This window comes from Homo sapiens, chromosome 12 (genome assembly GCF_000001405.40).
Source record: "Homo sapiens chromosome 12, GRCh38.p14 Primary Assembly".
NCBI classification, from domain to species: domain Eukaryota; kingdom Metazoa; phylum Chordata; class Mammalia; order Primates; family Hominidae; genus Homo; species Homo sapiens.
The window spans coordinates 66,638,070-66,653,412 of record NC_000012.12 but is presented as its reverse complement, the minus strand read 5'-3'; the positions used below and the strand labels follow the sequence as shown (position 1 = coordinate 66,653,412).

At 38.3% G+C, this 15,343-nt stretch overlaps 1 protein-coding gene across 22 annotated transcripts in view; it reads left to right on the top strand.

Annotated features, from left to right (window-relative positions):
- Window positions 1–15,343, top strand: part of GRIP1 (glutamate receptor interacting protein 1) — a 721,908-nt gene that overhangs the window by 415,926 nt on the left and 290,639 nt on the right. For 3 of the 22 annotated variants that reach the window (XM_047428618.1, XM_017019100.2, XM_017019098.2), the window contains exon 1: window positions 7,042–7,605. The exons of 18 other annotated variants lie outside the window; for them this stretch is intronic. In XM_047428618.1, coding sequence (XP_047284574.1) covers window positions 7,326–7,605 — 280 coding nt within the window. In that variant the 5' untranslated portion in view covers window positions 7,042–7,325. Of the gene's footprint in view, window positions 1–7,040; window positions 7,606–15,343 lie in introns of those variants that run through there. One more of the 22 variants, XM_047428616.1, reaches the window with a different exon arrangement.

Here is a 15,343-nt window from a genome sequence, read left to right as displayed (position 1 = left end):
GATACTTCCAGGGGATAAGTTGGCAAGTTCAAAATGCCTGAATATTCTGCAAAAATGTGAGCTGTTCAGCTTACAGGGGCACCTAATGTTTATAAAGGCCCTGGTTTTAACAATTTGGTATTTTACCTAAAAAGAGATATTTGGAAAGTTATGATGGGGTAATTAGACTGATTAAATATTAACACTTGTAGGAAAGAGGTTTTTTTTTATTTTAAGTTTAGAAATTCAGTGAAAATTGTATGTAGAAACGGAGAGCCTGAGATCTAGAAATCAATATCAAGAAATCCAAGGATTCAACTCTTACCAAGAGCAACAAAGCCATCACACCTGGAACAACCATGACTTTTCTGACAAAATCTAGTTGTAAGCAAATAGAATTTATCCCAGAACAACCAATTTAAACTCTTTACTCTTGTACTCTTTTAAGATAGTCTTTTCTACCTCTGGAGTCTTTCAAGTAAAGCAACTGGCATTCTTACTTTACAGATCAAACAAGCTAGGGATGAAAAGCTGTAGTCTGTTTCATAACCCTCATCTGGCTCTCCACCATATGCAAGGCATACACAGGCCCTAATGGAAGTCCAAGAGTGTCTGGAGTGGAAACTTTTTATTGAATTCTAAAAGGCCAGACCAGACTTCTTGTTATTGAAATCAGCTTTGGTCACAGAGCAGGAAAAGCACCTGGAGTGATGGGGACATGGCCACTCAGATCAGCAGGGAAATGCTTTCTAGCACCCGCTGTGCAGAGCGTCTACCTCTATTTGTTGGCTCTAGTCATTAGCAGACTAATATGACCTGCCCAGTGCCAACTGCTAACTTTCAAACACATTTTTCTTCTCTCCCACAGCATCAGAATCTCCATGAAGGCAAAGCACTATCTCCTACGTTTTCTTGTTTTCTCCCTGTATTAGTCCATTTTCACACTACTATAAAGAAATACCCAAGGTAATTTGTAAAGGAAAGAGGTTTAATTGACTCACAGTTCCGTGTGGCTGGGGAGGCCTCAGGAAACTTACAATCATGGCAGAAGGAGAAGCAGGCATGTCTTACATGGCAGCAGGTGAGAGAGAAAAGCCCAGGGGAAACTGCCATGTGTAAAACCATCAGATCTCATGAGAACTCACTCACTATCATGAGAATAGCATGGGGGAAACCACCCCCATGATCCAATCACCTCCTAAGAGGTCCCTCCCTCGACATGTGGGGATTATAGGGGTTACGGTTTGAGATGAGATTTGGGTGGGGACACAGCCAACCCATTTCACTCCCATAGCTGCTACTATAGGACTTTGCCTAGAGATGTAGTGAAATAAGAATTTGTTTCAAGTCATTTGATTTTTCATTAAGAAGAATCACCTTTCCCAAAAGGCAGAATACTTCTCTTCCATTAAATTTCAACATACTCCTCAGAACCCCCTTTGCTTCATAGTATTTAAATTTTTCTCACAAGTATTTCCAGATGCCACAACCTCCACTGAGAAAACTCTCAAAATATGGTGTACATTATGGTAGGAAATGGATCTGGGCAGCCTGTTTGGTCCCTTCTTCATTCTAGTATTTTTTTCCTTAATTAAAAAAAAATATTTAGAAGTGATGGATGATATTATATTTAGTTTAGAAAAAAATGAGTAAATGCTCCCCTCCCTCCTCCTCAAAGTTAGGTCCATAGAGATTTTCCCCAAGCAAATGAATTTTTTTTCCTCATTACCCAGTATTGTCACATTCTACTTAACATGTTGCCAGTGTGCCGGTAAACAGTTATAGGCCTACAGATATAATCCTAATGTGCTTGTTTGCTCTTTTCCCCAATTAGCCATGGTGTATTAAAGTGAATAAAATCTTTTAAAGTCTTTCAGCAGCTACATTTGCTCAAGTGCTCATATCCACGTTAAAAGAACAACAATCATGAGTATTCTCTGATTTGGAAATAAAGAGGATTGAGAATGCTGGGGAAAAAGCTAAATGACATCGGGAGAAAAGCAGTCCCTAGAGCAGAACACAGTATCTCTCAAAGCTTAAGATTTGGGAAATAGTTTAAATTTTGCTGATGCCTCTCCTCCAGCCTCAGGCTTTTCTGAGCTCTACAGATGATTCCAGTGTGTGAAATAAACCAAATATTGATCCTGCTTTAGGGTAATCCCTTCAACTATGGAATGTAAATTTAAGGAGATAAATGGATACAGGGAATGAAATTCTAGGTTTCTTTTCTTGGTGCTTAATATTCCAGAGTTGCTATACCACCTGTTGACTAGGTAGGCTGGAATCCCCTAAAACCAAAAAGTATATGCATCATGATAGGAAACAAATGTTCTACTAGGAGGAGCTAGCACATCATCTGGGTCATAGCAGGCAATAATAATTACTAACTGTGTACAGTAGTACTATGTACATATTGTCTTAAATATTTTACTCATATTAACCCTTTTAGTCCTTACAGCAGTGCTATGAGTTGGATATTTTTACCATGCTCATTTTGGAGATGAAGCAATTTAGGGAGAGAGAAGTTAATTAGTTTGCCCAAGGTTATGCTGCTAGATTTGAAGCTGGTCAGTGTGGTGTCAGAGCCAGACTCCTAAACTCTACTGTGTGTTACCTTTCTACATTGACAATAGAGATTTGTTGAATAAACAAGAGGCAGTAGGGTAGTAGTTTGAGGGAAGAGTTGAACCCTCAAGATTATAGGGTTGGCCAGTCCTATGCTCTATGTATTTCAAACACTGGTTTCTTCTATTCCTCATTCGTGACCATTAAGATCAGCTAATGGTCTAAATGCTGATAGTTAATCATAGTGACCAGCATGTGTAAGTTATCTCTCAAGGAAGGTATTCTTGATCACAGTGTCCAGTGATTGAGATAATGTGTGACATATTTCCATTAGGTCTTTTCTACCAGAAAGCTATGCAACTCATCTTACTGACTATATTCTACTAAAATTCAAATTCCATAACATAGCATACTCACAGCTTGATTTTTAAGGGCTTATAATTTCTTGAGTCAGACTGAGAATAGTTAAGATGGTATCTATTTCATAAAACATACTTTATTTGCTTACCAAGTTCTTTGGAAAAAGCTCACAAGATTAAGAAATAAATCTGTCATGGTGCTTCTTGTCTCCCCCAAGCAGCCTGAGATACAGGTGGCATAGATGGACTTGGGCCCATAAGATCTTTTAAGAATACTTTTAAGAGTATTCTTCTATCAGTGGCTTAAACTGAGGTAGAGATTTCTGAGAACTGCACAGGTGGAGTGGGATGCCCTCCCTTGGATGTGGAGCTACCCGCCGTTGGGCACTTGGAAGGAAATGGCCAGTGGAGACGGTGCTGGCTTCATTCAGCTGCCGTTGGGCACGACAGGCAAAGTGGACACTGTGGTGTAGTGGAAATAATATGAGCTCTATAACTCGCTAGACACATTCTCCTAGAGCCTTTAAAAACTTTCTGTGGCTCGGTTTACCCTTTCTGTAAAATAGATACAATAGCTAGCCCTAAAACACACCACTTTGGTTCATAACATAGAATTTCTAGCCTGCTCTTCCACAGAAGGAAAGGAGCCCAAGGAAATCTGATATATTCCTACATCCATATGTGTGTGATTTTACTATTTAATGTCTTCAACTGTGTTTCTTCTTCCTGACATATCGATTTTCCTCATTTCCGTGTATCCGAAACCTACGTCTTTTTCATGTCCTAGTTTAACTACCCTGTCTAAAATGAAACTTTACCAATTTCCATCAAACAGAAGTAATTTCCCTCTCCTCTGTGTTTCAGCCACTCTTGGGGATGCTCGATGGCATTTAGCATGCCTTTCCTTGGGTTACATTCATGTGCTGCTTTTATCTTTCCTACTGGGCTACAAGCTCCTTGTGAGGGAAATAATGCCTAGCCCATCTTTGTATCCCTATACGGTGCTCAGCATGGTTCCTTGCACATTGTCAGTCAATAATTGTGTGTTTAATTGAATTGAATGAGAGGGAGAAACTGAACTTAGTACAAATTTCTGGACCTTTTTCTCTGCCCAGACTTGAGGGACTCAGCTTATCTGACTGAGTTTGACTTAGCCTAAGGTGATAACAAATACAGAGCTGATGGCTTTCTCTAGTCCCTCTACTTGAAATATTGTCTATTCTTCAGGAAGTGGGTTGCCTCCTGGTAGATGCATGCACCCTGAGGATTTTATAGGATGAATACTTTTTTAAAAATACTATCAAGAGAATCGAGCCAGACCAACTTCAAACATGAAATTGCTAGGGAAAATATCTGAACAATCTGCAATTTTATTTGATATACAGTTAAGAAATATATAGATTCTTTTTTTAAGCTATTGCATATGGTCCTCTTGCTTTTTAAACTACAAGAATGTTCACTTTCTTCTTTGCTTAACCCCCTGTGAGCCTATACGGTGAAAAACCAAGAGAATGAATTTGCACTTTCCCACGTACATGATAAAATGAAAGTCACCAAATAAACTTGTTTATAAATAGTGTTCAATTATCAGGATCACTGGCGTATCTTACACATTGATTTTCTAGATTGTTTTAGAAATATTTGTCAACTTTCCTTTACAATGTTATTCATGCAACTAAGTGGATATAGAAAACGTCTTTAAATCTCCAGTTAAAATTGGACTTTGAGCTGTGGAAGCATACTGGACAGTCTGGTGTTAAAGATTTGCCATAAGTGAACCTCAAAAATATTACTAACATGCATGATAATGTCACCGACTCTGTCATCAACTTCTTGCTCGCTGTGCATTCAGCCATTCTCTGATTAAATTGGTGACTCGAATACATTACTGTATTTGCCTATTTTGTTGCTTCTCAGCAGCTGTCAATAAACCCAGCAGACTCCGTCTTTCAGAACATTTTTACCAACTGCATCAGTCACACTGGAATGCTTTATGGTGAATGGAGTATTTTGGCTGAAGTCCAGTTCAGCAAACATTTATTGAACAACTGCCGTAAGCTGGGAACTACAAATACCCATCCATTCCTTATTTTGTTGGAACTTAGAGAAGGGAGAAGCCATATTCTCGTGATCATTTGGTCAAATCATGATACATATGCAGAATAGAGAAAGGCAAAGCACTAAAGGATGAGGAAGGGAGAAACACTAACACTTACTGCATACCACGGCCCTTCCGGGATGATATTCAAAACATTTAACAATCTATATGGCCAGGCACCAACCAGGCAGAATGGGCATGAGCCACAAGCCAGGAGCGGGATCTGTGGAGCCAGATGGTGCCCCTTAAGTTGCTGGATCATGAGCAGGTCTGAAGGCTTCTAGGTGAAGTGGGCCAGGGCCTCGGTAGCAAGAAGGCACTGGTGGAGGGAGGGGGGAAGAGTGGGTGGAGGGAAGCAGCTTTTAGCAACTATTTTCAAAGTATTTCAATGTCTTACCCCTGAAATGGCTATGCTAGTGCAAAGCAGCAGGAAATCAAACAGATGCAGCTACTCTACAAGGTCTAAAGATTATTAAGCAGAATTTAAAATAAAGGAATCATATGTTAGGGAGGGGATTAAGGCACACAGCTGGTAAAGATAAACCGAATTTAACCCAGGTCTCTTTAGTTCCAAAACCCATCATCTCTGATCTGTAATAGTAATTAATTCATACTGACAAATCCAGAGAAGGAGGAGGAAAAAGACGATCATGATTTACAAAGTACCTTTTGAGCAGGGCCTCTAAAGTCAAAAGATTTTTTACCATGATATCTCTAAGAATATGTGATGTTGGATTTGTTTGTTCCATCCCTAATAAGGGTCTTATTTTTCTTTTCCTGGTTAGCCTTCTTTCTCTTCCTTTCTTTTCACTTCTGTCAATTTCTTTAGACAAAAGTTCTTAATCTAGAATTCAGATGCAGGAGGACCATGAACAAGCCTCAGGAATCCTGGAACCCATTGCCTCTGTGTCTGCTAAAGTGCATTTTTGTGGGAAGGTGATTCATAGTTTTCTTCAGATTCTCAAAAGCTTCTGTGTATATTAGAGGAAACTGAAAAATATTCCACAGATGCAAAATTTATGTATTATGATGTCGTATAATGTAACATTCTGAAAATACAACATGTCCACCTAAATTTCAAAGGGCTGAAAAAGTAAGTATTTAATCTTTGGTACTTATGTGTATATTATTGTCACATGAATGGCATTTCGCCCCACACATACCAATGAGTAAGTATATTGGAAACCACAGAACCTCGGCACCCAATTTTGGCAGACATTGATGCATGTAACTTGTGGTGAACGTTTAGAGGATTACAGGTCATCTGGGCAGTTACTGCACTCATAAGGCGGGAGTCTAGCACAATGGTTAAGTTCAGACTCAGAATCCACAGCTGGAGTTCAGCCTGGCTGTTGCTTCCCTAGTCTGCAGCTTTGGACAAGTTACTTAATCTGTGTGTACCACCATTTTCTCATCTGGAAAATGAGGGTACTAATTGTAGCAACCTTTTATAATTTTGCAAAGAGTAAGTGATTGATGTAAGGTGAGAATAGAGAGGTCTACAGCTGCTGAACTCCTGTACCAAAGCCAGAGTATCACATGAGAGGACACCCTCTCGCCTGAATTCTACTCCTTTCAGCACTCACCTCTTCTTGCTACCTGGTCTCTATTTGCCATCACTATTATGCCAGGGCCCCCTGTTGCTTTCATCTTGAATTTATATGTGACTTTCCTTATCCCATCAATGGGGTGGGGACAGGTGAAGGGAATGAAAACTAGAATGTGATAATGGAGGACTGCCATCTTTTAACGTAGCAAATAAAAATATCTCAAGATTCCAGAACACTTGTTTAATCAAGTAAAACTGAAAACGAAGGAAAGCAGTACCTCTCTTATGTGGTCACCTAGCAAGGCTTATGTTCCGGGTTTAAGCAATTCTCCTGCTTCAGCCTCCCAAGTCACTGGGACTGCAGGTGCGCGCCACCACATCCAGCTTATTTTTGTATTTTTCATAGAGACGGAGTTTTGCCATGTTGGCCAGGCTGGTCTCGAACTCCAGACCTCAAATGTTCCACCTGCCTTGGCCTCTCCAGTCGCTAGGATTACAGCCGTGAGCCACCGCTCTCGCCCTTCCCCCAAATATATTTCTGAAACACAGTTTACACTTGCAGTCATGCCAATGAAACTAATCATCTATCAATCAATGAACATTGCTTGAAAGTCAAGTATACATAAAACATAAAGGGAGATAAAGAGTAATTTCATTTTTAATAAGTAATTACACATGAAAGATTAGCAAGGATTCCAAGAGTATTATTATCCATTCCTACTTAACTGAAAACTTAACGTACCTTTTTTTGTGTTTAGAATTTCTTGAAAGATGAATGGACATTGTGGCCCATTGTGAGAAAGCCATGGCAGAGTCAGTTAAGAAACATCAGTTTAGCACTTCTGAATCTTATCTTCCAGCAACTTTAATACTGAACAGCATATCCTTTAATACTGATGGCTCCATACAGTATAAAGAAAAGCTGTATTTCTCTGCCTCCGAAGCCCTAGACGCTTACATTGATGATTTTCACTTAAACTATGAGCCTCCTGATATTGATACAAAGGTTAACCTGGATCAGAGTCCTCTTGAATTTCTTGCTAAGTCAAATAGTGGTAAGCTTTCATTATTCTCTGAGTTCAATTTTTAATTATCTATAGAAAGCTGATGCTTTGAGAAGATGCATACTCTAAAAGATTTTTTTCTTGGAAAATAATTATCTTGAAATTTATGAATCTTTTTATAAGATTCTTATATAATTTTACACTTAATTTTATACTTCCAAAACTTTTCCAGCAATGGATTGCTTTTAATGGGAGTTAATTCCGGAAAACACATCCCAGCATTGATTTGAGTGGCAAAGCTCTGGCTTTGGAATCTAAAGCACTGGACTTCATGACTGAAAGTGTTACAAAGTCACTTAAATTCTCCAAGCCAAAGTTAATCCCTTTGTAAAATGAGAATAATAATAGTAATACTCCACATGGTTATTATGGGAGCTCAATGAATGAGAGAACATTCTGTAAATTGTTGCATGTATAAGGTCCTCAGACTTTCTGTAGCGCAGTGAAGAAAACACTGTAATAGAGGTCAGGCGACCTAAGGTCTGTTTTCCAATCTGTTAATGACTGTTGAGATATGAGAAGAGCTGCTTACTTTCTCTGGGCTTTAGTTTCCTCATCAATAAGATAAGGAGATTGAACTATATGTGCTCCATAATTTAAAAACTCTATACTATGCAGATGGCAGAAAAATTCAATTAGCCCATTCCAGTATTTCAATATTTTTCATTTAAAAATTGTTATTTGTAGAAGTTGAAAAAGATACCATGATAAAACTAAAACTGGGTGTGAATCTGAATTTGTGGTTGATTGACCATAAAGCCATTGGGGAAATAAATTCCTCTAATAATAACTCATTTTTATTAGTAGAAATACTATTACTACCAGTAAAAATGCCTGTTCTTCCACTAAACATGGTCTTTTAAAGACTGTATGCTAATTTAAACAAGAGTATTGAAAAATTATACATTACAAAACTAAGGTGGCATTTATTGCTACTGATTTTAGACTATTATGAAAACATTTACCATAGTATTGTATGCTGTGCTTGATATGCAAAATTAAAATAGATGAAACAGCTTTTTATTCTTTCATAATTGCAAAAACAGAATTAAATGAGTAAATGAGAATTCTTGCAAGTCAGACAGAGTCCTACGTAAGATAAAGCCATGTTTCTTTATGCTAAGTTATCTGATTATAATATTTGACATGGTTTGATAAATGCAGAGATGTGATATGGGGATTGAGTGTGAAAGTGGTGTATGAGTATCTACATTATCTGTGCAATTGAAGTGCAAAATATGTTGTAATTTATTCAATAATACTGCTGGTTTTCCTGATAAGGATTTTCAATCTTCTTTTGAGGTTTGGTGGTAGAAAGTTTTTCTGTATCAGTTTTTCTTTTGAATCCACAGAGAAGAGGCTGTGGAGCAGTCACTTGTTAATGACTTGAAATGTGATACAGGCAATTGCTCTTTCTGTAGTTTCTCTCAAGTTATTAACTCCACCATCAATGTTATTCTTGGCAGTTCTTCACAAAAGGAAAAATGAACACTATATGTTTTTTCTGATCATCAGAGTAATATGTACTCTTGGTGATATGGTTTGGCCCTGTGTCCCCACCCAAATCTTATCTTGAATTGTACTCCCATAATTATCACGTGTTGTGGGAGGGACCTGGTGGGAGATAATTTGAATCATGGGTGCAGTTTCTCCCACACTGTTCTCCTGGTAGAGAATAAGTCTCACAAGATCTGATGGGTTTATCAGGGGTTTCTGCTTTTACATCTTCCTCATTTTCTCTTGCCGCTGCCGTGTAAGAAGTACCTTTCGCCTCCCACCATGATTCTAAGGCCTCCCCAGCCATATGGGACCGTAAGTCCAATTAAACATCTTTTTCTTCCCAGTCTCTGGTATGTCTTTATCAGCAGTGTGAAAATGGACTAATACATATGGCAAGACAATTTCAGAAAATACGTAAGGATAAAGCAGAAACCAGGCCAGGCATAGTGGCTCATGCCTGTAATCCCAGCACTTTGGAAGGATGAGGCAGGAGGACTGCTTGAGCCCAGGAGTTCAAGACCAGCCTGGGCAACATAGTGAGAACCTATCTTTACAAAACATTTAAAAATTAGCTGGGCATGGTGGTGCACACTTGTAATCCCAGCTACTGGGAGGCTGAGGTGGGAGGATCGCTTGAGCCAGGGAAGTGGAGGCTGCAGTAAGCTAAGAGCCTGGGTGACAAAGCAAAACTGTGCTTCAAAATAATAATAATAATACCAAAACCAATCATAATTCTAACACCAGAGAAAACTACTATTAATAATTCTATATAAATTTCCCTTTTTTCTAGGCAAATATGTATTTCAGAATTGTACTATCCCCACTATGCTATAACCTTGTTTATTCATGTACTGATATTTGTGACTATCATTTCATGTCATTAAAATAGTTTGATATCTTTATATTAAGTGGTTCTATAATATTTCATTGTCTCAAGACATTTTAGTTGTCACTAATATATTTATTATTCAGAATGTTACTATTGCCACTGTGATACATGCATGTTTGGGTAGCTGTCTAGTTATTTCCTTAGGATGCATTTCTAGGAATAGGGTTTCTGGGTGAAACCCAACGCACATTTTAAAAGTTTTGGTTCCTTTTGTTAAACTGTCTTCCAGAAAGGACATGCCTATTTAAACACTCCTACCAAAGTAGAGAAGGGTCCTTATTTCCCCATAATCTCAGTGCCCCTGGATATTATGAACTTCTTTAATCCATGCCAATCTGCTGGGTAATAATTGGTATCTGTGTTTATTTTGCATCTGCTTGTCTTGTTTTATGAATTGCCTTTACTTTGTTTTGCGTATTTAAATCTTTGTCTAGAATATATTTTGTTATTACATATGGTCAAAGCCTAGTTTATTTTAAAAAACAATTCCACTTGCCTCCCTTGTAATAACCTGAGTTCTCATATATACTTAGGCTTCTTGACTTTTTGTTCCATTGATTCATCTGCATTATTTCTGTGCTATTATCACTGTATTTTAATTACATTAGTCTTAAGTTGAATATCTTAGATGGGATGGGGTAGAGGGTTAGGAAGGAGGTATGCCTATTCTTACTCATTTATCCTTCCAAATGGATTTTAGAATCATTGTTCATAATTTGCAAATGTTAGTCTTTGGATTACTTAGATCAGATTCTTAACTGCCCTTCTGGGCCCTGACTGATCCCTTTCAACCCATTCTCCACCCGGCATCCATAGGGTTCTTCCTAAAGCAGGAATCTGCTTCTGTCATTTGTGTGCTGAAGACACCATGATGGCTCCCCGTCATCCTGGGGATAAGGCTCCGACTCTTTAATATAGTCTCATTGGTGACCTGGCTCTTACTTAACAATCTAGCTTCAATTTCTCTCTCTGCCCTACCACACACACACACACATGCACCCTCTTTCCCCTTCCACTGTACTCCTTTCTAGCAGTCCTGAACTGCTGCTAGCCCATGGACTGCACCAGGCACATGGTGCCTCCCTGCCTTTCACATGCTGGAGTTCTAGCTGGAGTTCCCTCTTGCTGGAGTTCTCTCCTCTCCATCCCCCTTTTCTTCTGTAAACCTTTCTTTCCAGCCTTGATTTAGATGTCACTTTCCCAACACCACCCTCCTCCCTGCAAAGTCTGGTTTAGTTGTTCCTGTTGTGTTTTCTCTTGGCACCTGTAACATCCCCTAGGATGGCATTTAACACTATATTGTAAGAACCTGTCCACTGGCTTCTCTCCCCCACGAGACTGATAAGGTCGTCCAAGCTCTGTGTCTTGTTTGGCATTGTAATTCACATTGTAACTTGGCACTGAGGGCACACAGTCAATTCTGTTGAAGAATAAAGCAGTCTACAACACTATGATCTTTATTTTTTCCATTCAGGATACCCTTTCTATTGGCAGTATGGCTGTTATGAAAACTATTACTCTGTCCTTCACTTTTAAGGTGATGCTTATTTCTACTTCGCATATGTTCAGTAGGAACATGATCTGAACAATGCTAGGTGATGGTAGCACTGCGATCCTTATAAGGCATGGCCAAGGTAAGAGAGAGAGAGGTGACCCACAGAATTAATGCCCTTGGGAATCCTTCCAGGTCTTTACAAAATTCTCAGGGTTCTTTTGAATTAACTTGTATTAACTCAAAGAAATAACATTTCCTCAGAGCTTGTCTCAGCTCCCATTTTAGTTCTACTAGTGTAACTGTGCTTGCACTAAATTCATCCAGTTGCTCCTATGTGTCATGAAAGAATAGCTTTTGCTCATTTTCATGTGTGATAATTTTTATAGAAAAACGGCAAAGAGGATATGTGAAGCAGGTGTATTTTACAACTTTTATCTCTGAAAGTTTAGACTTTTAGGGTAGAAAATTCAAAAATTTAAAAACTAAATAAGAATGTGTTCAGGGATCCAGGCCCACCCCTTCCTCCCCCAATCTGACTTATTTAGGCTCATCTCTTAAAGCTCCCCTCAGATGTCCCACATGGTTTTGTCAAAGCGCCCACTGGCTGGCTTAGCTGCCCTTGCCCCTGGTTAGTGGTAGCACCTGTGCAGATCTTTGTGCTCACCACATTTGACTGCAGACATCTGTTTCTGTGAATTCTGTGAGGCATCAACAGTGTCTCAGTTACTACCATTTCCTCAGAGCCTGGCATACTTAAGTGAATGGATAAATTGACAAATTATCCTAAAGGATTACTACCTCAGCATGTCAGATAAAGCCATGTTTGTCTAAAATGAGGAAAAATATGACTAAACTATGTATAGTTAATACTCAGCCTCCTCTAGCATAGAAATTTGTGCAGAAATTTAGGGGATCCTCTGGAAAAAAAAAGTTATTGGCACTCTTGCGTTGGATTTTGTCATTGTCTGATTCACTGTGTTGTTGTTCTGTTCTTGTTGTATAAGGAATTTTCCCCCAGTGGGATTTATGAACTACTTCCAGACATGTATTTTGTCTGTTTTTGCTTTAAAAGTCAAGTGATTTTCCTTTGTACAGAAAATATGCTTTGGGAGAACCAGAGAGAAAATTCCCTTGAAAGATTATGACAAAACCCAGAATGGCTTTTGCTTGAAACATTAATTCTTTGAATAATTCTCTCTTAGTTTTTTTATGCTTGTGTGTGGAGAAAATGGCCCAGTAATGCTATAATGGCCTATTTTGTGGATGTGAGAGTTGTTCTTCTTTCTCAAGAATGAAAAATCATAACTGTTGATTTGAAGGTAGACTGATCTGGAAACCAAAGGAGTTTTAATGGACATAAGAAGGAGAACATTCTCATCACTCTCAAAATCAACTTCGAGAGACATCGTTTGAGTCTTTTCTTCTAGCTTGAGTATCTCTGGGATATTTTGCCATATAATCTATTTGTAGTTTTGAGATGGAGAAATCAGGAATCTGTTTAAAAGACATCTTGTTATTCTAGGGATGACCAATTTATTTTTCAGTCTATGCTTGTCTGATGTTGAACTGACAAATTGCATATTTTTATTCAGCAACTAATATGTGCTAAGTAATGTGCTTGGAATTAGAGGGATAGAGTCAGGCCTGGTATCTATTCTGAATAACTATGATCTCTGTCTTCAAAAACTTCATAGTTTAGTAGTAATTCAAATAAGCATAACAGCAACAATTATACTACGGTGTAGAAAGAGCTGAGATGGAAGTATGCATGAGATGCTTTGGGACCAAGAGAACAAGCACCTAAAGCTGGTTGGAAGGTTGGTGGAGGCTTTCAGGAGAAGTGACCCTTCAGCTGAATTTTGAAGACCAAGTAGAAAATATCAGGCCAGAAAGAAAGGAGTGAAGGACATTCTAGAGAGAGGTGTGGGTATGTGGAAAGGCATAGCATATGTTCAAGGGGTTGTTGGTCATTCAGGATGGATAGAGAATGATGTTGTTTAATTCTGTTTCCTCAGAGCTTGTCTCAGCTTCTATTTTAATTCTACTAGTGTAACTGTGCTTGTACTAAATTCATCCAGTTGCTCATATGTGTCATGAAAGAATAGTTTTTGCACATTTTCATGTGTGGTAATTTTTAATAGAAAAATGGCAATGAGGATATTTGAAGCAGATGTTTTTTACAACTTTTATCTCTGAAATTTTAGACTTTTAACTAGAAGATTCAAAAATTTGAAAACTAAGAATGCAATGATAGTTCAAAGGGACATTTTATGCTGGATTATTTATCATTCTTTTCTGTGGTTCTTTCTAACTCCTGGAATAACTATTTAATCTCTTCACAACCCACCTACCTGAAAGAGTCATTTTCCACTTGCTATCCAATCCTTAATGAATCCACTTAAATTTGATCTCTGCTCCTCCCACTTTGCTGTAATTGGTCCCTGATTTTCTCCCTCACCCATCCAGCCTGTACATTGTGCTGTTCTATGCTGTGTGCTTTCACAAATGCCATTCCCTCTTTCCTGGAACGCCCTCCCCCAATGCACACATCTTCTTCCTTTAGCTAACTTCTGCTTACCCTTTGAAACATAACTCAAGCTCAGCCTCTTCCAGAAGGTCTCCCTAATCCTTTTCTGCCTCAGTACTCACTTCTTCCCACCCTACATGGCACTTCAGTTCGCTAGTAGTAGCATACTCTGTGATTAGTAATACTATTAGTACCCTACTAACGGTGGTATACTAATAGTAATAGGAATACCTAACATTTATTAGGCATATATTACAAAATATATAATATTTACACATATGTATATATGTATATCTGCTACTAATAATAATGCCATTTATTAGCCTCTTGTTATATGCCAGGATTGACTACATGCTTTAGCTATTAAACTGCAATTAGATTTGCACCAACCTAATACATTATATTGTTTAATCCTCGTAGCCAAACTAATCCCCATTTCACAAAGAAACTGAAACACAAGGAGCTTATGTAAAATGCCCAAAGGCACAGAGCTGTTGAGTATTGTCCCTGGGTTTTTACCCAGGCACTGTCACCTCACAACTCTGGCTGTAGGCCAGCACTATATCATATGCACTTTGTGTGTGTTACAAGTAAAGCTATGGGATGTAAAGCTGAGACCAAGACAAAAAAAAGAGAGAGAGAGAGAATGAGATCCCAACACTCACCTTAGACATGATGATCTGACCTTTAAAGAAGGGCCTAAATTGACAAAATTGATTTCGTATTTTATTTCTTGTTTATCTTACTAAAAACTAATTAGTAGGAATATAGCCAAAAAGGTAAGAGAAGTGCTTAAACTAGGGAAAGAATCAAGGAGCCTGGCTGATTAGCTCTTGACTTGTTAACTATTTTGTCTGTCATTATAAAAAACTATTTTGTGGGGCAGTAAGAAACAGTACAGTGGCCAAAGTACTGGGGTTTGATTAAGAAGAACTAGGTTTGAATTTTAACACTCACCTGCTCACATTGTAACCCTGGGCAGGTTATTTAACCTCTTTCTCTTTATTTAATGTACAAAATGGGAGAAGTAATACCTATCAAGGGTATATATTGCAGATTAAATAAAGTGATAAATGTGAGTACACCTAAAACAGTTATATGTAACATCATCAGAACCCTCAAAATAATTTGTGGAATAAAATGCAAAATATGGTATTTGTTAGGGGTTTCAATATTCATAACCTTTTACTCTCACTCTTTCTAACAACTTGCCATCGCTCTCACCCCAAGCCATAACAAAAATAACTGCTTTCATAAGAACAACTATGTTCTCATTCTGAGAGGGAAAGTTGTTCTTGATCATTGTGTATAGAAGCCT